Genomic DNA, 21386 nt, shown 5'->3' with positions numbered 1-21386 from the left:
ACTTGGGAGTTAAACATATTTCTAACTTTGTATTGTTTTTTAAAAGATAAACTTCATGGAAATAAAGTGCAACATTTTCATTCATTTATCTTACAGCTCCTAATGCATTATTTTCACTAAAAGCATTCCCTTTTAAAAATACATTTCATTAAAGTGCTTAATCTGAGAAATAATAGATTAGTACTATTAATAAAGGCTTGATTTTATTAATAAGAAAATTGTTAAATATACTTGGTATCTCTGATACAATTGTTGGGTTGATGGGTCCTGTCTGTGCCCAATCTATTATGTGAACCATGGCAAATATCCATCTTTGCAAAACTGCCCTACATCCCCCTCAAAGGAAACAAACTGACCCCAAGACAGAACTTAATCACTCCAGAGTAAAGCAAACCAATTATAGCCTTGGCCTTCCCTGTTAAAGCAAGTCACAAGAAATGCAAATATCCTAGACTAGAGCTGTATACATTTAATGTTTGTTTACACACTCAACACATTGTTTATGAATTGAGCGAGTTTTATGCAGCTCAGATTACGTTTTGGGTTTTCAACAAATTATTTAAAAATAAACAGAATTTATAAATGTATAAAAATTATTGGCTCTGGCGATTTTGCAGCATTGTGCTAACCAAGAGGACTACTCCACTTTTACTCCTTTTTCGTCTAAATGGCATCTTAATGACCTGCCCACGCTGAAGCCTCATCGATGCTTTGGGAAACCATCACATACCTGTCGGGAAATGTGACTGTTGGTTAAGGCTACGTTTCTCACACTACCGCGAAAGAAGTATGTGACTTACAAACGGCTGCGATTTCCTTTACCTATTCCTTCCTTCAAAGGCTGCTTTAAATGGAGGTAATTCAAGCCTCCCCGTGCCAAACACCGGCACTCCAACAAAGATGGATTGGTTCTTATTTTTTACTTTGAGGATGGGAACCTGAAAATGTTTCCTAACGTTTGCTGAGGCTTTAACATGTTTAAGGAATTTGAAACCAAGGGAAGTTTAGCCGTAATACTCTGAAATATCCGCATTAGGATGCGGGCTAGGTGTCCGGCTGTTGCAAAACTACGGAGGATGCGAGGTTTGGAAGAAACTGTTTGGACTTTGCTGTATACCGGGCAGGCGTGGGGGTTGGGGAGGGAAGAACCGGCTGAGGGAGAAAAGAAAGGCATTCGTGTCCACAGAACACATCTAAGGCTCCTGAGTTGCTAACTCCATCCCTAATCATCTCATTGGTGGGAACCAGCTGGAAAGGGAAAGATCAGCGAGCCTAGGCGTGGGATGAAGGCAGCGGTTTTGGCCTCAACCGCTGGCCTAAACACCTGGCTTCTGGGGCCCGCCCGATCAAGCTGAACCCCTTCCCTCCTGTCCTGCAGGTGAGCACACGGTGCTCTCACGTTTCTTCGAGAAACCTTCCAATTCCTTTCCCTGCCCAAAAGTGCTAACTTCAAGGGTTCGGAGGTGGCAGGGGGGTGATAGACCGGAAAGGACTGGCCCCGGGGTCTCAGAGATTTTCGAGGTAGGAAAGAACAACGATCGCCCCGGCCACGGACGCATTTCCCCTCGCGGACCGCCCCCCCACCCCCGCGCCCAGTCTGCAGGACCTGCCGCTGCGGCGCGGCGTTGGGCGCCAGGCTGAGATCCTCGCGCGGCCGCTCGGGCTAGCGCGGATTGGGTGGGGTAGGGGTTGGCGGGCTCCTGAGCCGCAGTAGCGGAAGGTTCCCAGCACCACACGCCGGGCGGGCAACCACATTCTGCCTGTCTGAGAGCCGGGGGGAAGCAAGGACGCGAGTGAGGCGGGGCGAGTCCCGGTCCGGCGCGCACAGCGGACCGAGCGGGTGGCCCTCTGCGGGCTGCCCCTCTCCATCCCTCCGCGGATCCCCCGCCCTTACCTCCGGGCGCGAGAGTGTCGACTGGAGAAGGTGCTAGGGAGCGGCGAGCTGCCTGGGGGTCGGGCTCAGCGGCTGCCAGGGACGGCGGCGTCGCCCGCGGGGTCGCTGCTCATGGCTTGTCGCGCCCGAGCACTGCGGCCGCGGCCACGGCGGCGCCTTCCTCCTACTTCTCTTCGCGGGCTTCCAGCCGGGACGCAGCTAACGCCCCAGCCCCGCAAGCCCTCCTCCCCTCCGCCTCCCCGGCCGCGGACGGAGCCGCCTCCAGCGCCGCCCCGCACGCAGCCCGGCTAGCGGCAGCCAGCGCCGCCCAGCGCCCGGCCCCGGGGTCGCCACCGCCCGCCGAGTCGACTCCGCGGTGCCAGCCCCGCTGTGACGCAGGCCGCGCCGCCCGGGAACTTCCTCCCCTGCAGAGACCACCTCGCTCCCGGGACTCGCCAGCGAGGGATGCCGCCGGCCGCCGGGGGCCTTCTCCAGGACCAGGAGAGAAATCCTCTCTCCGCTTCACGACGCGGCCACTCCCACCCCTGAGACGCCCACCTGGCGGACTCTGAGGGAGGATTCGGCTGCGTCTAATACCACCTCCACCCCTCATCCCTCACAATGCGCGGAAAACCACAGGCGGCTGTGCGCGCAGCGTCGGCTCAGCCACCGCAGCTCCTCCCCTGGGTAAGTTAGAGGGGAGCAGCCACCACTAAAAATAGCCCTTCTGGGAACTCCTCCGAAGGCCAGGGTCAGGATGAAGATAACCCCTCCACAGGAGAAGCGAAGGCCTCCTAAGAGAAGGGTGGGGAGGGGACGGTGGGATAGAATGAGGAAGATGGAGAAGGAGAAAAGCAAAACCCAATATCCTTGGATCATGAAGCCCTTGAGCCCCTTGACAACCAAGTCTCCTTTCAGGCCGGAATCCCCAACTGCACCGCCCCTGCAATACGGGCTAAGGGGCAGATTCCAGGGAGACTCAGTTGGAATGCCCCGCCTACAGCTCCCGCATAAAGGAGTTGACGGTGCACAGCAAAACCACCTGTTGTTTAACGAGTATGGAGGGAGGGGTTCTCTCTCATTGATTGATCTGAACCGTGCTTTTCTTCTCCCCATTTTCCCACCCAATTTCAGGATGAAAAAGCACTCTGACGTCTTGAAAGCTGGCAGCTCTCTGTTTGGAAAATCTCTGCCCAGTGAAAAAATGTACCGACAAGATTACTAAGTAACACAGTCTTCTGGGAATGCCTTATCAATGCCAGCTATTTGAAGAGCACCCAAAGTCAAACTAGTGCTCCGCGCTGGCAGTCTGGAAAAGGCAGATGTATGTGAGTAGAGAAACTGATAGACAACTAGTTGCTGGCCAGTTGGCCTGTTTTCGTGCTACAAGCCTTCAGAAAACAGTCGCCTCCTTTTACCACGTTTCTATTTCTAAACCAAAATGAAAAGGACGTTTGTTCAAAAGATATTCTCTTGGGCTTTACATTGCTTTCCCCCTGCTCACTCAGCAAAATCCTACACTTTTTTTCCAATTCCAATGCTGCTGTTGGGTGTCCTTCCCAGAAGACAACCTTAAATTCTCTTAGGCCTTAGGAGCTGAATCTAACACCAGTCTTAATTAACCTACAACAAGACAAAAATTTAGGTCCGGGCTTACCTCCTAGTCAGCAGATGGGAAAAATTCCTAGAGAGTCTCTGGGAAAAAGGCAAAGGCTAACTTTAGCAGTTTGCTAGAAAAAAAAAAATTCAAGTACCTTGTAAGTCACCAGGGTAGATGCAGCAATACTCTCTAAGGTAGCTTTACCTCTTCAATTCTCTTACCTTACCTGAATTTAAACACAGTGAGGCAAGTACCAAGGTCACAACCCTCCTGTGGAGGGCCTTATTCTGCAAGGGCTCTCTGATATACTTCTATCTTTGTACCGTTGGCACCTGACCACAAGCTTAGGCATCCCTGAAATGCTCCCTTGCTACCCAGTGTCAAGGAATCATTGAACCTTAGACTTTGTACTCAGGTGAACCAGGATGAAATCCCTATTCTTCCAGTTTAAACTTAGGAAATTTACTGTTCTTTTTATCTGCCCCCTCCCCACCACCCACATCCCCTTATCATCCCTATAGGTATAGTACTACAGGGTGCTGTGAGAATTAGCTAATATGCTCAAAGCACCAAGAACAGTGCCAATCACTTTGTAAGTAGTCAGTAAATGAGAGCTACTATTGTACTTAACTACTCTTCACTGAAAGCAAAAGAACCAGGAATAGCAAAAAGGTTTGGAAACCTGGGATCTGAATCCCCTGCAAGTTGAGTCCACCCCAAGTTGCTTTATTGCAATACTTTTGGCTACTCTTGTGTCTGCCTTCTAATTGGATCAACTGGGTAGTTCTTCACGTGTAGGCAGGTGATTCACATGCACATTAATGCTTGAAAGCCACTAGTCTAAAAACTATGCTACACTGGTTAGTTCACCTCTTCTTATTTTGTAGCATGTAAACCTTAAATCTAGTGATCTTACCTCAGTCCACCTAATTCACATTAACATCCACACTTAGCAAGCTCTCTGTAAAGGACTGGTAGAATTAGCAATCAGTCAACTTGAGTGAGGGTCTTAAAGAAGTACAAGGCTTATTCTCCGACTTCAGGGTGTTCATAGTTCATGGGAATCATGCATACACACAAACCAGAATAAACCATTTTGAAGCAAATGTGCTTGAAGTTCAGCACATCTCCAGGAAGGAGAGGGTACTGTGAGCTAGATGAACTGGGTGCACAGACTCTGTCTTGACCTTTCACTTTATACCCAATTCTTTAGGCTAAATTTTGACATTCTAATTGGACTTCCAGAGTTAGTAGTTCTCACACTAAAGACTGTGTAATTACAAGTTAACCATGTACAGGTTGGTGATAGAAGCAGAAGTAGATATTTCTGGGCTATGCAGGGCTATGGTAAGGGATTTGGAATGAAATAGGTCTGGGCTTAAATCTTGTATCTCTAGCTATGAACTTCAGTTTCCTCATCAGTCTATTGGAATATAACTACCTTTTAGGGTTGTGGTGAGACTTAGAATATCTGTAACCCCTCTAGTGGGTTGTATGGTAACAGCAATTGTGTCACATTGTTGTTTTGTTGTTAGCTGTAAGAAAACTCAGGCTGGGCTGAGTTGTTCCTTGAAGGCGTAATTAATTAATTTTTTCTGAGACAGAGTCTCATGCTGTGTGATCTCGCTGACTGCAACTTCCGCCTTCCAGGTTCAAGCAATTCTCCTTGCCTCATCCTCCTGACTAGCTGGGATTACAGGTGCCCGCCACCACGCCCAGCTAATTTTTGTATTTATTTATTTTTTTTAGTAGAGATGGGTTTTCACCATGTTGGCCAGGCTGGTCTCAAACTCCTGACCTCAGGTGATCCACCCGCCTTGGCCTCCCAAAGTGCTGGGATTATAGGCATGAGCCACCACGCCTGGCCTGAAGGCATAATTTAAAAGTCACCTTCTCTATGAAGCCTCCACAGGTTCTAGGCAAGTATAACTCTTCCTTCCTTGTGTGACCACAGCACTTACCATGGCATGCTCTCATTTGTCTCTTTACATGCCTCTTCACTACAGAGTCTGGGAGCCTCTCCAGGGCAGGGCTGTATCTTGATTCACTTTTATGTCCATTATCAATACCCTGCACAGGACCTGATATTAAATATTGAAATAATGAGTTTTTAAGTGTTTCAGTTTCTTGTATTGGTTCTGACTTTCAGTATAACTCTTATTATACTACAGGCTCTAAAACCTGAACCCTTTAGCTCATAAATAATTCATACTAAATTTATGTATTATGTATATGTATCTGCTTAAACCTTGATGATGTCAATGCTGGGATTGTTCTTTCAGATCAACCTGCTATTCTTGTTTTGTTTTGCATTTGATTTCAGTTGATCCTACCTGGTAAGAGTGCAAGTAAAATCTACATTCTAAACCAAAACCACCAGCAGGATTTTACGCTGCATTCTCTATCCACCCTGTGCACATCTGCTCCCCATACCATTTCTGAGCTTTGTGGGAAGAGGCTGAGCTAAAAGAAAACGTTGTTGTTTTAAGTTTCAGTTGTTTAGACTGTTGCAACCATTAGCACTTTCTGAATTAATACCTGCAAGATAAATGCTACCTTTAGCAACAGTTTTGAAATCCTTGACTCTGTGCCATTAAAAATGCTAGACAGGGAAAAATAAAACCTTCCCTAGAAAATTCTTTTGCCCAGAAAGTTGCCTGAGAGGTAATGTCAAATGTGGACTTGATCCCAAAATGGCAGTTGAATTTGTACCAGAGGAGATGGTGGTCTATTGGGGCTAAAAATGATACCCCAAAATGAAGGAATAAAAAGCAGCCTCAGAAGCAAAGTCTCTGTCTAGCTTTCTCCTGCCCTCCTGTCTCTCACTCTCTTATTCTCCCTTGAAGCAAGCCATAGAAACTGGAATCCTTCTTCCCTGAGGTGGGTCATATAAACCAGAACCTTTTCCCCAAAACCAGCCTTAGAGCCTAAACATTTTACTCTAATCTTCTCCCTCCCTTCCCTTTCTCTTTCTTGCTAACTGCTGGCCATAAAGAAATTAAGACCCTCATTCCAGGGGGTCCTACCCCATACCTGGGAGGAAGGAATGTTATATCGAAAGGCCAAGAAGAAATCTGAACAGACAGGCCTTGCTGGATTTCCCCATTCCCCTTGCTGGATCATACCCCTTTTGTCCAATCATATTTCTACACAGCTTTCCATACTTCATTGAACCCAAGCATAAAAATGGGCCAAGAGAAGGTGGCTCATACCTATAACCCCAGCATTCTGGGAGGCCGAGGTGCAACATCACTTGGGCCCAGAAGTTACAGGTTACAGTGAGCTATGATCAGGACATTGCACTCCAGCCTGATCTACAGAGTGAGACCCTAAATCAAAAATAAAAATAATAATAAAGGAATAGTTGCCCCTATATCTTGGGGTCTTCATTCTGAAGGCTCCTGTGTCACACAAAACTACGATCAAATAAATTTGTTATGCTTTTCTCTTGTTAATTTGCCTTTGTTAGAGAGGTGTCAACTGTTATGATAGGAAGGAAAGGAATCACCCCTTTTTGCTCCCTACAGTACCAAGGACCTAAAAATAGGATTCTATAAAACTTTGAATCAGATTCTTCTAAAACAAACCTTATTTATTTTACCACCCCAAGACAGAATTGTTTGATCCCACTAACTTGTGAAATTTTCTTTGGAAATAGTAAAGAATAAACACTTATGAGGTACACATTATGTGCTAAATGCAGGTTGAATATCTGTTACCCAAATTCCTTGGGACCAGAAGTGTTCTGGATTTCAGATTTTGAATATTTGCACTATACTTACCAGTTGAGCATACCAAATTCAAAAGTCTAAAATGCTCCAATGAGAATTTCCTATAAGCCTTATGTCAGTGTTCAGAAAATTTGGAGCACCTCAGATTTGGGATGCTCAATGTGTGCTAGCTTTATATGCATTGTCTCATTTATTCACCATAGCTATCCATTACACAGGCAGTATTATTTTCTCATATTGACAGATGAGAAAACAGAGGCCCATTGTAATCCAGTAGCTAGCTGAAGGTCACATAATCAGTGAGTAGAAGAGTTGGGATTTGGGCCTAGGCAAGTCAATTTCAGGGTTCTCATGCTTACTCACTACTTAATCCTATAGGAAAGGAGTATTTATTTTTAAATGGAACCCATCAGTTATTTCAGTAAGGTTAATAATGTACTTTTTCAGTATTTCAAAATTGCATTGATTTGTGCTTTTTCCACTAGTGTACTCATATCCCATATGTGCCTTCATGAGCTGGTTTTACAGCTTACTCTTTAATTGAAAAGCACTTTACAACTGAAAGCAAACTTCTTAATCAAAGATCATAATGTGTCCGTAGCTCCGAGTTAAGGCAACATGAACTATAACCAGACAGAGAGTCTCATTCTTAGAATTATTGTTCAGATGGGTCGATAGATAAGTAACTTTCACATGAGAAATATTATTATATTATGATATAATAAGAAATATATATATATATTGGTCATTGTCTATGGTTCCTGGCTTACAGCTTCTAAAACTCTTGTAATTTCCTCAGTGATTAGAGCTATAGGATCATTTTTGATTATATTTGGGTTTTGTCTTTAGTTCCTGAAATAGCTCCAGATAAAGGTGAAAAAAGTGTCTTTTATTACTCATAAGATGTCTTCTTCAACCACACCTGGGTTTATGTTAATGAAGCAATTTTTGGAAAGCCCCTAGATAACTGCAGGATGGGAGCTGGTTGCTATGGAAACTTAAACGTGTGTGTGTGTGTGTGTGTGTGTGTGTGTGTGTGTGTGTGTGTGTGTCTAGACTAGAGGGTTGGAATTTTCAGCCCCACCTGGACCTTTGACCTTTTGGGAGTGTAGAGGAACTGGAAACTGACTTAATTACCAACGCTAATGATTTAATCAATCGGGCCTATGTAATGATGCCTTTATAGAAACCAAAAAGGATGGAGTTCAGAGACCTTCCATGTTGATGAACAAGAACACATTCACCTGCTGTAGGGGTAGGTGTACCCCAAAACTCCACTGATACAGAAGCTTCTATACTCAAGACCCTTCTATACTCAAGACCCTGGATCTTACCCTATATATCTCTTCATCTGGCTATTTATTTGCATCTTTTAATATATCCTTTGTAATAAACTAGTAATCTAGAAAGCAAACTTTTCCTAGCTCTGTAGGCCATTCTAGTAAATGATTAAACCTGAGGAGGAGTTATGGGAACCTTTGATTTGTAGACAAGTTGGACAAAAGTGGTATATATCCTAATATAACATGGGAACCTGCCACTTATGATTGGCGTGTGAAATTGGGGGATGGGGAAGCAGTCTTGTGGGACTGAGCCCTTAGCCTGTGGGGTCTAATGCTATCTTCAGGTAATATCAGAACTGAGTTAAATTATAGGATACCAGTCAGTGTCCATTGGAGAACTGAATTATTGTGAGGAGAAACCCACACATTTGGTGGCTAAAAGTATTGATGTGAGTAGTAGCATATAGGAGTTTTTTGCTATATACATATGTAGTGTAAGTTTAAAGTAAAAAGTTTTGTATTGTCAGGAGTGACTTCTTTGCACCTAAATATCACTGCTATAACTGCGTTACTAAGGAATAGTTGCTTGCTTTTATGTATTTGGCACCTGCAGCTACTGTTCTAAAAAGTTTGCATGTGTTAACCTATTAATTAAATCTACAAATGACTGGCTGTACCCATGAAGTGAGTTATTCTAAAGACAATGGAACATTTAAATGGTTTAGAAATTTTTTGATTAAAAATACATTAATAATATCTCCTAAAGAATGTGACTGATTTTTTTCCAGGGCTCAAATTTTTCAGTCTTTTCATAACACCATATTTTATTATGCATACACAATATGCCATAGAGCCTGTCAGATCACAACTTAACATTGAATTGCCTCAAATTTCAGTGGCATCAGCCCTGACGAAGCATCTAATTTTAAGCCTAAGCAATTGTTTCTTTGTTTTGAATGAGAAGCTGTCCTCTCTTTGAGGCATGAAGATCCATGGCTCAGGAAACCTTATCACGGTAGTGAAATTGAAGATGCTCTTGTTACTCACATAAACATGATTCTCTCTTTGGAAAATTATTGTAGACGGTGCTTTGTATGTTTAGGAAATGCCGTAGCCATGCGCACATGCTCTGTCCGTGAAAGCCACCACCCATCCTGAGGTATGATGCATTTTTTTTTAGCATTTTTGGAGCTTCTTAGTTTCCTGAATCCACTCATATTTTTGTCTCTTTAGGAAACAACATCAGCAACAACAAAGCCTGATTTCCCTTCTCAGTATCAGTGATGTATTAATGGCACTTTTGCTGTTAGTGAAAAGAACATAAGCTGGAATTGATGAGACCTGGATTCCAGTCATATTTCTTTCATTGACCAACTTTGTGACTTGGGAGAAATCTCTTAATATCTTTACATCCTCAGTCCTCATTTGAAAATGAGAGGATTGGGAAAGATGTCTTCTTAGGGCTTGTTTGGTGTGAGAATTTTATACATAGATATTAAAATTATACATGTTTATCCTCCTTAGATTTCAGTCAGTAATGGATATTACCACCAGCATTTAATCAAGGAAGCAGGAAGTGATCCATCACTGCTAGCTGCTATCTACAGGAATTCTGTCTACAGGCAGGGCAGACCAGTCAGCCAGTATCTTCCCGAAGTACCTTGGTCTTCCACCATCCATCCCACTGAGAGAGCCGTTCCTCTAATGAGGCATTTCTAAGCAGCTGTCCATTGAACTCTACCCCTTGAGATATCCTGAGAAATAGGAATCTATGGTTCCTATTGTTTGGAAAGTAGTATATCTTCCTTGAAGATTCACAATGCGTATTAATATGCTTAGGGCTCTGATAAGTCCTGTATTAAAAATGCTTGTTAAACTTTGCTGAACCTAGCATTTCTTTAACTTCACTTGGCCGTGGAGCTATTTCCTTTATTACACCTATCAACATTCCAAAAGAATAAAATTCCTTAGAATAGAATATTTTGTTATTTTTGAGTTAAAGACTGCAGAGCCTTCATAAGACTTTTCTTGTTGGAAAGAGAAGGGAATTGTGGGCTCTATAACTCATTTAATGAATATCTGTCAAGATAAGCCCTCTTGGTAGATGTTTTCTTCAGCTATTTTCCTTACAAACATCAGTCATAATAGAGTGCCTGACATCTTTAATAGGACAAAGAGTATCCATTCTCATTGGTAATAGTGCAGCTTTGTTCTGTTACACTGAGGAATAGTTCCCTGGCTGTTACATACTCTTGTTAGCCTCTGGGTTCCATGACATCCTTTCAGAAATAGCTGAAACTGATATAGAACACGCACATATTCTGAGCACAAAAAAGATGACATAGAATAGTCTATTATTGGTGACTATTGGAAGACAGTTCTCTATGGGTCTCTAGTGTTTTTGTACTCTTTCTTCCAAAATAAATGTTCAAGGATATTTGTACAGTGAACAGCCTTGAAAGATAGAGATAATGTCTTTCTCTGGAGCAAAAGCCAGACATGTTTACTGTCCAGTATAATAAAGATAATGTTTTTCTCCAAAGCAAACGGGAAGCATACTTACTGCTCATAAAAGGTTGATATTCCCTAGCTCAGGATTTCTCTCCTATAACACAATCCACTGTGGAGTTAGGTGCTTTCTCGCTCTCTTTGCATCTCCCTGTGGGAAGTGGGTCTCCAGGAACTGATATAAAAATGCTGATACTTTGGATACTGCTATTGAAGTGAGTAGTAAACTTTCTTTTGTCTCTGACCCAGGACTTTTCACGTCTTATACCACCATCCCAGAAAGTGTAGCAGGCTAGTATTTTAGTTTCCAAGGATAAGAAAATTTCAGACCCTCCACATTTCTTTACAACGACTAGCTTTTTCCTCTCTACTAGGTGGAAATTGATGGGATAACTTGATATACTTATCTACCCTCCCTCTCTGAATCATTCCTGGCCTAATGAATATTCTCTCCTATGAATGCTTTTCTAGGCCTGTTGTGGCATTTTTCTTTTTTTTTTGAGATGGAGTCTAGCTCTGTTGCCCAGGCTGGAGTGCAGTGGCACGATCTCGGCTCACTGTAACCTCTGCCTCCTAGGTTCAAGCAATTCTCTTGCCTCAGCCTTCCCAGTAGCTGGGACTACAGGCACATGCCACCATGCCCGGCTAATTTTTTGTATTTTTAGTAGAGACGGGATTTCACTGTGTTAGCCAGGATGGTCTTGATCTCCTGACCTTGTGATCTGCCCACTTCAGCCTCCCAAAGTGCTGGGATTACAGGCGTGAGCCACTGTGCCCAGCCTCTCTTGTGGCATTTATGATAGCCTTCCATCCTTGTTTCTGAGGAAGATTCAATAGAGAGCTATTAGAAGTGATGTACTCTGATTAAGGAATTTCAAAGAAAAGACACCATTAATTTAAAGTCCAGCATGATAACATTTCATTACAATGATGAGACAATATTTTATATTCTATTTTATTTTGAAAAATTATTTAAAAATCAATTCTCAGTGAAAAGGAATTACCATGTTACATTAAAGAATGTGTGTGTGTGTGCGCATGTGTGTGTGTGTGTGTGTGTGTGTGTGTGTCTGAGTTAGTTGCGTTGATAGCTTCCAAAATGAAAACACTAGGGTTCAGATAAGATGAACTGCTTCCAGTGACCAAAAGGAGGAGCATTTAACCACAACATGAAAACAGCTTATGGTCTCATTTAGGAGACTGAAAACATCTCTGATCTCTTAAGTGTCTCGAATATTCTTTAGCTTGTAAAATGCTCCAGATAATAGCTATTTATATCTGATCTGATACCATTTTATATTAATTGTTCATTTTATTGGCTTAACCAAAATTCAAAATTATACCTTCTATAATAATATATCTGATCATTTGCTTTGAAACAAACACTTTCTGATTGAAAAATTATCAGAGACTTTAAAGTATAACAGTATTGATTTAAGAGCAACCAGGTCTGCACATTTGTAAGATGACAAGCAAGTTGTAGGCTGACAACTTGCTGCAGTGATTTGAATGATACAGACAAGGTAGCTGATTAACATTTGCTGAGGATTTACTCTACGTCAGGCATGATGTTAAAGATTTCACATGTAGGCCAGGCGCGGTGGCTCACCCCTGTAATCCCAGCACTTTGGGAGGCCGAGGCGGGCGGATCGCAAGGTCAGGAGATCGAGACTATCCTGGCTAACACAGTGAAACCCCGTCTCTACTAAAAATACAAAAAAATTAGCCAGGAGTGTTGGCGGGCGCCTGTAGTCCCAGCTACTCGGGAGGCTGAGGCAGGAGAATGGCGTGAACCCAGGAGGCGGAGCTTGCAGTGAGCCGAGATCGCGCCACTGCACTCCAGCCTGGGCGACAGAGCGGGACTCCATCTCAAAAAAAAAAAAAAATTTTACATGTATGATTTCATTTCATCCATGTAACAACAGGATAACAGGTAATCTTACTATTCCCATTTCACAGATAGGGAGTCTGAGGCACATACAGCTAATGTCACTTGCCTAGCCTCATGCTGCTAGTAAGTGGCACAGCCAGGAGTATAACCCGGACAGCTTGACTTGAAAGCCCACACTCTTATCACGCCCTTTCTATCTTAAAACATCACAGTATTTTAAACTGCTGGAAAATGTCATTTTTTCCCCCTAGAGTGCTAAACAAAAATAAACAGTCTTGCTTATCTGGAGTTTCATACCTAATTATCTTCACATATACGATGTTTTTGATCTTCATTTCTCTACAGTGAATATATTTCAGGACCATTAAGGGTGAATTGGTATGCATCAGCCCATGTTGACTGAGAAAAAAAGATACCGTATAGCCCATTTTGAGTAGGGAGACATTCTAGTTATGCCACTTGGAAATGTTTCACATAAGGTTTTGCTGTATCCCAGACTCCTAACATAGATGCATTTGAAAAATCATTTAGTAACCTAAAACAAATACCAAGAGATGTTGAGTGTCTTTAAGTCTATATCCAAAGAGGGAGGAAAGAGCAACAATATTTTAAAAGTTACTAATTCTCTACCTGGAGATGTTTCCATTTTTCATGATTATAAAGACTATTACTGCCAGCCCCAAACTGCCCAATTTCCAGGTTCCCCAGGTGGGCACATTGTGATGCTGCCTAGGCTACAAGTCACATCACAATACTTTTCCTCAGATCAGACTGGCAGCTCAGCCTCTCCAGTTTCCCAAGGAGGGTGAGGTGAGGAGTGGTGCAAGACTTCTGAGTGCTTTAAGGGGAAAGGAATTTTTTTTTGAGATGGTGTCTCGCTCTGTCGCCCAGGCTGGAGTGCAGTGGCGATCTCGGCTCGCTGCAAGCTCCGCCTCCTGGGTTCACGCCATTCTCCTGCCTCAGCCTCCTGAGTAGCTGGGACTACAGGCGCCTGCCACCACGCCTGGCTAATTTTTTTTTTTTTTTTTTTTTTTAGTAGAGACGGGGTTTCACCATGTTAGCCAGGATGATCTCGATCTCCTGACCTCATGATCTGCCCGCCTTGGCCTCCCAAAGTGTTGGGATTACAGGCGTGAGCCACCGCGCCTGGCCAAAAGGAATTTTTAAACTCTTTTATGATTATTTCTTAGGATGATGAGGAAATCATTTAATAAGCAACCTTTATAGATTGCTGCCTAGCCTCTCAAAACTCCAAAATGATTTCTAAAAAATAGCAATAAAAAGGCTTCATGCAAAATTCTCTGCAACGTTACATCTACTCAGTGTCCTGGCTACCGAAGACAAATAGTATGATACACATTTCAGTTGCAAAAGCAAGTTTCACTTCTAGCATCCCATGCAACCATTTTCACAAGAAAATGAGGAGTCGTCATGGTCTTTGCTGAAAAACTTTTGTGAAGATTGGTGGATATTTTTCTGTCTTTCTGTTAAGACCCTGAAGAACAGAGTTGAGTGGAACTTACTTTCTGTTTCTGTTATCTAGAGTGAATTAAGAAGTTTAAGAGAAGCAAGTATGAATCTCCTGATCTTGTGAAATCTCAAGTAGCTAAAAGGAAGTATTGACATTTTTTAACTGGAAGTATTTGAATTTACCTGGATTTAAACCTGCATTGGCATTTTTTATAACATATATGATGACTGAATTTCTGTAGACCCAGTAGGAAATCGCCTATTTTTTTTTTTTTTTTTTTGAAAAATCATCTTCCCGAACTTTGCAGTTCTTTAATCAAATTTGCACATGGCTCTGATGGGTTTATAGTTCTTTACTGCCTCCCTGATTTTGCATGTGTCTTTATACCATCTTCTAATTTCTTACTTCCTTTTTGTCCTTATCACTATACTCTCTTTCTCTCCAAATTCCATCAGTCTTTAAATGTTCACTTCAAATTCTATCTTCATAAAGTTTTTCTCACACTTTCTTTTCTGTAAATGCTTTCCTATGGTTTGAATGTTTGTGTCCCCTCAAAATTCATATGTTGAAACCTAATTCCCAGTGTGATAGTATTAAGAAGTGGGGCCTTTGGGAAGTGATTAGGCTATGAGATTTCCAGCATCATGAATGGGATTAATGCCCTCATGATAGAGGCTTTAGGGAGCTTATCCCTTTTGCCATATGAAGATGCAGCAAAGAGACAGCAAAAAGGTACCATCTATGAAGCAGAGAAGCCCTTACCAGCCACCAAATCTGCTGGTGACTTGACCCGAACTTCTCAGCCTCCAAAACTAAGGCAATAAATGTTTATAAATTATTCAGTCTAAGGTATTTTTTCACAGCAGTCCAAAGGGACTAAACTACTCTATAGTCATTAATCATCACTCTTACCTTCCATACCTATGAGAACCTAAATAAGCTGCTTAACTTCTCTGAGCCTCAGTTTCCTGAGAAATAAATGGGGGTAATTATAGTGTCTACTTTATAGTCTGGTTGTGAGGGTTAGATTATTTAATACATATAAAATATTAGAACAGAGCCTGACATATTGTAAGCATGTGACAAACATTAATTTTTATTAATATTTAACAGCTAATTGCATCCTTATTTTAAAGTTTTCCATTTTTTTCTATTTTCCATATGGTAGAGGTTAAAATTTGTTGATTTGATTTAATTATGTATAGTATAATGCCAAAGGGAATCTTTCTTCAAATTTTTAATTATATTGTAAAGAGTTACTAATTGACAGTTTTCTTATAAGTTAGCTTAGTTATAATAAAATGTTTAAAAAGTGAACATAATGAATACTTATTACCTGAATTAATATTACATATAATATACATATAATTATGTATTTATTATATAAAAAGTTTATTTGATTATTTAAATTTGTATTCATTTATGTAAATAAATTGTTATTTTTATTAAAATTGATAAATTTTATATAAATATAAAACTAATATAACTTAAAATGTTTCTACATTTTTATTTCAATTTAATATATCACCCATGATACACTAAAATCATCATTTCTTTCCCCCACCCCAAATTTAAACACAGGAAATTGTATTTTTGAGAAATTCTTATCTAAAGTATCTGTCATATTGTAGAACTTCTGTGGATATGAATGAGTCAATGTCCTAGTTACTGATATAGAAAAATGGCTACACACCAATAATTTTGAAAAAAGACTTTCATTGTTTACTGAAATCGCATGCAGGAAGAAATAGCTAGTTTTAACACACCAGTGTTATGTGTTCTTTTTTACATGATCTATAAAGGGATACATCTCAAGATCTCTTCAAATCCCTCATAAATTTGTGATCTACAGAGTAGGGAGGACCTCGTACTCTAAAGCAAACCAACTTCAAAAGGCTGTTTGAAATGTAAAATTGGGCAATATTAATTTTAAAACAGAAACAGTTCAGCCATTTGAAAACAAGAGGTGTCAATATTTCTGTCCAGAAACCAATGGGAGTATGCCACCAAAAATTAAGACACAGGTCCTGAAGTTTGTTTGAGATAAAATACTAAGGTCTCGTAAATCAGAGGAGCCACTTTATCTATATTACTTGGCTATCTTTAGAAAGTACTTTTAACTCTTCAAGCAGTTTTAACTACTCTAACCATTGTGTAGTATTTTGTAATGGTGACAAAACTTTAGATAAGATGAAATCTTACTTCAAAATATCTCTCAACCCCTTCCTTTCCTCCCTTTGCATTTCCACGTCTCTCCTCTAGTTTTGCTCTCATCACTTTATGCCTACCTAGTGGCCACTGTCTCCTTCCCAGTCTTCCCATTTTAGTTTTATCCAGTTCAATCTCCATGAAATCATCTGATTTATCTTCCCAAAGTGCTGCTTTCAACACATATAAAATGAATGGCTGGCCCAGAGTAGCTGCTCAATAACAATTTCCCCTTGCTTTAAGTAACTCCCCACTGTCCAAAGGGAAAAACTTAAACTCGAATCCTGCATGGTTTGTAAATCTCAGTAGGAGACTGTGGTATAATAAAGAGTATATTGGTCTTTTTCCCTGGTTCCTACTCCAAAGCTTTTAAAACCCTCTGCATTCCCTAAGTGATAGAGGTCTCTTTGTTATGCAAATGACGTGTCTGACCATAGCCTCCTATGTAGTTTCAGGACAGAGGCTGGTTACCAGAAAGACCAACCATGGGATTAGCGTGCTCAAACTTTGGGCCAGCTTGACCTGAGTTAAAAACTCAACTAGTCAGGAGGGGAAGGGGGCTGGAGACTGAGTTTAATCATTTGACCAATAATTTAATCAGTCATATATATATAATGAAAGCCCAATAAAAACTGTGGACTCTAAGGCTCAGGGGAGCTTCCTGATTGGTGAACATATAGTTATACCAAGAGAGTGTGTGCGTTGGGTCCATGGGGTGAGAGTATGGAAGCTGTATGGTCTCTCCCTGACCTTGCCCTATGTATGTCTTCATTTGGCTCATCTTGAGATACAGTCTTTATAAAAAGTCTGTAATCAAATCTGTGCTTTCTTGAGTTCTGTGAGTTGTTCTAGTGAGTGACTGAACCTGAGAGGGTCATAGGAGTCATTAAATTTGAAGCCAGTTGGGCAGAAGTGTGAGTGGCCTTGGGACCTCCTGAGACTCATGACTGGCATCCTAAGTGAGGGCAGTCTCATGAAGGACACTGTCCCTTAATCTGTGCCAATTCTGGTAGTTAGTGTCAGAATTCAGTTGAGGTGGAAACAGAACACAGACAGTATTAAATAGCTATTACTGGAATCCATGGAAGTAGATCAAGCCACTGGAGCATGATTGTATAGCATAGCTGCAATGGAAAAACTGATTTACTAATGGCCTGCCCAGGACCACAAAATGATTAAACTGCTTCCTCTAATCTGGCTTACCTAGAACATGTTAGGATAGCCTCATGCTAAGGAATCATGCCCATGAATCATCTGAAGACAGGAGGAGTCAACATAGTTTTGACTAGCTTAGGGCAAGGCAATTGGACTGAATTGTGAACCGTGGTTTTAATTTCACAGGGTCCTGCTAATGGTTTATTTAGGCAGAAGACAACATGAGTGTCCTTCATCACTTAGTTTCTCTGAAAAATATTCTACCTAGGCAAAAAAACCCAAGCCTAGATGATAAGATATAAGTAAGTGGGTATGTTATGTGTGAAGATTTGGATTTCTCTGCTCTGTCTATATCCTAGATAGTAATTCTGAGAAAAATCAAGTTGCTGGTACTGGTGATAGTGGTGTATGGGAGAGGGAGGGCCCTGCCTATTTATTGCTCAGTAAGCTATCTGTTTCCAATTTTGGCAGTAAAACATAGCAACAGAGGGAAAGGAAAGAGAAGGCACAAGGCATTGAGTATCCACTGCCTAGCAGGCTCAGAACAAATGCTTTTACTTACGTTAGCTTATTTAACATAAGCTTATGAAGACACATATAGCATAAGTTATGAAGACATAACCTCCCTGAGGAGTAGGTATTCATATCCTCACTTTGTAGGCACTCATAGTGGCTCAGAATTCCCTGAGATCTCATAGTAAGTTAAAGAACAAGCATTAGCATTCAGGGTTGTCTGAGTCCAAATTTAAACTTTATGCTCTCCTTTACTGCCTAGTTTCCATCTATGAGCCTCCTTATGGCATGCCCAAGTCACACTCTGGTTTAATAAAGCCAAGAAAGGTTGTCTTTTCCCCCTAAATTTGCAAGAGGTGGGATGAGATTTATCGACACTCAAGTTAGACTAGAGTCAGCTCCTGAACCAATTTTCCCCAGACAAATCAGAGATTTTCACTGTCAAGACAATAATGAAATCTCTTTGCAACCTCCTTCTTCAATGTTATCTCTTTCAGGCAAATTGGAGCTAATTCTGGGGCAAGCAGGAACAAGTAATAATCACAGCCTCCTAGAGATATCCTTGGCACAGTTGCCTCGGGCACACTTGGCTGTGTTTTACAGAATGCTGTTCCCACGCCCCTGAATTAACTCTGTCTAGTTGTAGATGGCCAGAAGTGACCCTTCTAGCAAGAATCCTTGATAGTCCCCTGTCTTCCAGAAGACCTGCTAGTGGGCTCAAAATATGCTGAACTCACACTGGGTTGATGAGGCTAGGGCCCCTGCATTACTGTCTGTTTGTCATTAATAAATCTTCCTGGCACCATTGGCTGGGACCTAACATGAAGGACCTGGCATATAGTGCCCAGCCCCCTAGTGGTGGAGGCACAAGGGAGTAGGACAGGGCACAATGATCTCCATGGTCTCACTTGGCCACCAGCAGGGCCGGCAGCTTAGGATGGTGTCTCACCTGGGCCAAAATGTTGAACAGTCTGTGGACTGGTACCTGGGTTGCAAGCAGAGTGCATGTTCTCACTAGCAAACACCTTCAGCTGAACACATTCTTCCTCTCATTTCCTGAGGGCTCCCAGCAGTTGATTTCCCATGGAAACAAGCAGAAAACTGTTTTAATCATCTGGCATTTAGTTTCCTAATTTGTATGGGAACCTGGAGATAGAGACATATGGTACATTCATTATCTGAGAAAGCTACAGCTGAAAGAAAAATAATGAAAGCCAGTCTTAAAACTGGAAAGTTTCAGCAGATGCCCTCAAATTACTTTCCTTCATCTCAGGGACTGTCAACAATGCTGCCAAAATTGTTGTTCTGTTTTAGCTCAGTATTTCTAGCAGGATTTACACTTGAACCTTGGTGTGTGCTTCCCCCATGGCCCTTTACAGCCTGTCAGCTCTCATAGTTGGATATTGGAGCCCCCCTATTATCTCCTGAACCAGACAGAGAGTTGGAATGAGCACAGGCTCAGGAGTCAGTCAGACCTGAGTTCTAATCCTCAGGAGTCAACCTGACCTTACTAGTCCATTGGTGTTGGGCTAAAACTGAACTTCCCTACGTCATTTCTTTCCCCCCCTTTTTTTAGACAGGGTCTCACTCTGTCGCCCAGGCTGGAGTTCAGTGTCGTGATCTCAGCTCACTGCAACCTCCGCCTCCCGGGTTCAAACGATTCTCCTGCCTCAGCCTCCTGAGTAGCTGGGATTACAGGTGCATGCCATCATGCCTGGCTGATATTTGTATTTTTAGTAGAGATGGGGTTTTCCTGTGTTGGCCTGGCTGGTCTTGAACTCCTAATCTCAAGTGATCTGCCCGCCTTGGTCTCCCAAAGTGCTGGGATTACAGGCATAAGCCACCAGGCCCTGCCCATTTTTCCTCATCTGAAAATTTCATTCATTCATTTAACAAATATTTATTGAACATATATTTTGGGCCAGGTACTATTTTAGGAACTAGAAAGATAGCAATAAATAAATAAAATCCTCACCTTTGTGGGGATTATATTCTATTTCAGAGGACACAAATAATAAAAAATGAGTAGAAGACATAATATGTCAGCTGGTGATAAGTGCTATAAAGAATAATAATGCAGAGAAAGGGAGTATTTGGACAAGGCAATGACAAATTTTTAAAAGGCGGAGCAGGGAAGTGTCCTCGCTGTGAAGAGGCCGTCGAAAAAAGACCTGAAGGAGGTGTGAGGGTGGGCCTGTGGCTACTGGAGAAAGAACATTTTGGGAGAGGCCCTAAGGTTGGGAGACTCCCTGGTGTTTTGGAGGAACAGCAAGGAGTCCGGTATGGCTGGAGTCAATGAGTGCAGAGCTTTGGGCAACACCAAAGAGAATTTGGCTGCAGTCACTGTCACTCTCATACTGGAAAGTTTGGAGCAGAGGTGACATGATCTAAGTTGTGTCAGGGTTACTCTGGCTGCTGTGGTGAGAGCAGACTGCATGGGACAAAGTTAGGATGTTATAAGTCATCAAAGGGAGACTCCATAATGGTTTGCACCAGGGTAATCGATGTCAGGTGGTGAGAAGTGGCCGAATTCTGGTCAACATATTCTTTTGAAAGTAGAGCTTTAAGAATATGTGACAGATTGAATGTGGGTTAAGAGAGGGAGAGGAGTCAGAAATAACTCCAAAGCTTTTAGCCTGGTTACTAGGAAGAAAGGAATGCTAATTTTCTGAGATGTAAAATAGTTTAAGAGGAACAGGTGGAAGGGATGGAAAATCTGGAATTCTGCTTTGAACATGTTAAGTTTGAGGTGCCAATTAGAAGTCCAGACGGGGTGCAATGGCTCATGCCTGTGATCCCAACACTTTGGGAGGCCGAGGCAGGCGGAATGCTTGAGCTCAGGAGTTGGAGAGCAGCTGGGCAACGTGGCAAAACCCTGTCTTTCCTAAATATACGAAAAATTAGCCAGGTGTGGTGGCACATGCCCGTAGTCCCAGGGGCTGAGGTGGGAGAATCACCTGAGCCTGGGAAGCTGAGGCTGGAGTGAGCTGTGATCATGCCACTACAGCCTGGGTGACAGGAGTGAGACTCTGCTTTTGTCTTCGAGAAAAATAAGAGTAATCTCTCCTGATGCTTTATGGTGAGAAGCTGAGCTGATTGAGAAGTAAATAACTCAGTTTCTGTGCTTTTCTAGCATGGACACTATTATTTCCT

At 42.1% G+C, this 21386-nt stretch overlaps 1 protein-coding gene and 1 long non-coding RNA gene across 4 annotated transcripts in view, besides 4 other annotated features; one reads left to right on the top strand and one right to left on the bottom strand.

Moving 5' to 3' along the window:
• LRRC8C (leucine rich repeat containing 8 VRAC subunit C) overlaps positions 1 to 19393 on the bottom strand; it is a 103710-nt gene extending 84317 nt beyond the window's left edge. For 2 of the 3 annotated variants that reach the window (NM_032270.5, XM_047432040.1), the window contains exon 1: positions 1895 to 2097. The gene's annotated coding sequence lies outside the window, so the exon portion shown is untranslated. Of the gene's footprint in view, positions 1 to 1894; positions 2098 to 19182 lie in introns of those variants that run through there. The other variant, XM_011542282.3, reaches the window with a different exon arrangement.
• Positions 1126 to 1175: an enhancer, noted in NCBI's record as "active region_1298". NCBI's record gives its function as "activates an Ori minimal core promoter by ATAC-STARR-seq in GM12878 lymphoblastoid cells {active_cell/tissue: GM12878}" and the evidence as "EXISTENCE:reporter gene assay evidence [ECO:0000049][PMID:35858748]".
• Positions 1206 to 1255: an enhancer, noted in NCBI's record as "active region_1297". NCBI's record gives its function as "activates an Ori minimal core promoter by ATAC-STARR-seq in GM12878 lymphoblastoid cells {active_cell/tissue: GM12878}" and the evidence as "EXISTENCE:reporter gene assay evidence [ECO:0000049][PMID:35858748]".
• Positions 1636 to 2295: a silencer, noted in NCBI's record as "silent region_1054". NCBI's record gives its function as "represses an Ori minimal core promoter by ATAC-STARR-seq in GM12878 lymphoblastoid cells {active_cell/tissue: GM12878}" and the evidence as "EXISTENCE:reporter gene assay evidence [ECO:0000049][PMID:35858748]".
• Positions 2323 to 10368, top strand: LRRC8C-DT (LRRC8C divergent transcript). The gene is made up of 3 exons (NR_033981.1): positions 2323 to 2560; positions 3008 to 3201; positions 10012 to 10368. It is a non-coding gene; the product is annotated as an LRRC8C divergent transcript (long non-coding RNA).
• Positions 11993 to 12287: a silencer, noted in NCBI's record as "tiled region #5460; HepG2 Repressive non-DNase unmatched - State 13:Ctcf". NCBI's record gives its function as "represses a minimal TATA promoter and a strong SV40 promoter by Sharpr-MPRA in HepG2 cells {active_cell/tissue: HepG2}" and the evidence as "EXISTENCE:reporter gene assay evidence [ECO:0000049][PMID:27701403]".
• Positions 19394 to 21386: the final 1993 nt, after the last annotated feature.

This window comes from Homo sapiens, chromosome 1 (assembly GCF_000001405.40).
Source record: "Homo sapiens chromosome 1, GRCh38.p14 Primary Assembly".
Taxonomy (NCBI): domain Eukaryota; kingdom Metazoa; phylum Chordata; class Mammalia; order Primates; family Hominidae; genus Homo; species Homo sapiens.
Note: the sequence above shows the minus strand (reverse complement) of the source record. Positions and strands in the feature narration are given on the sequence as shown.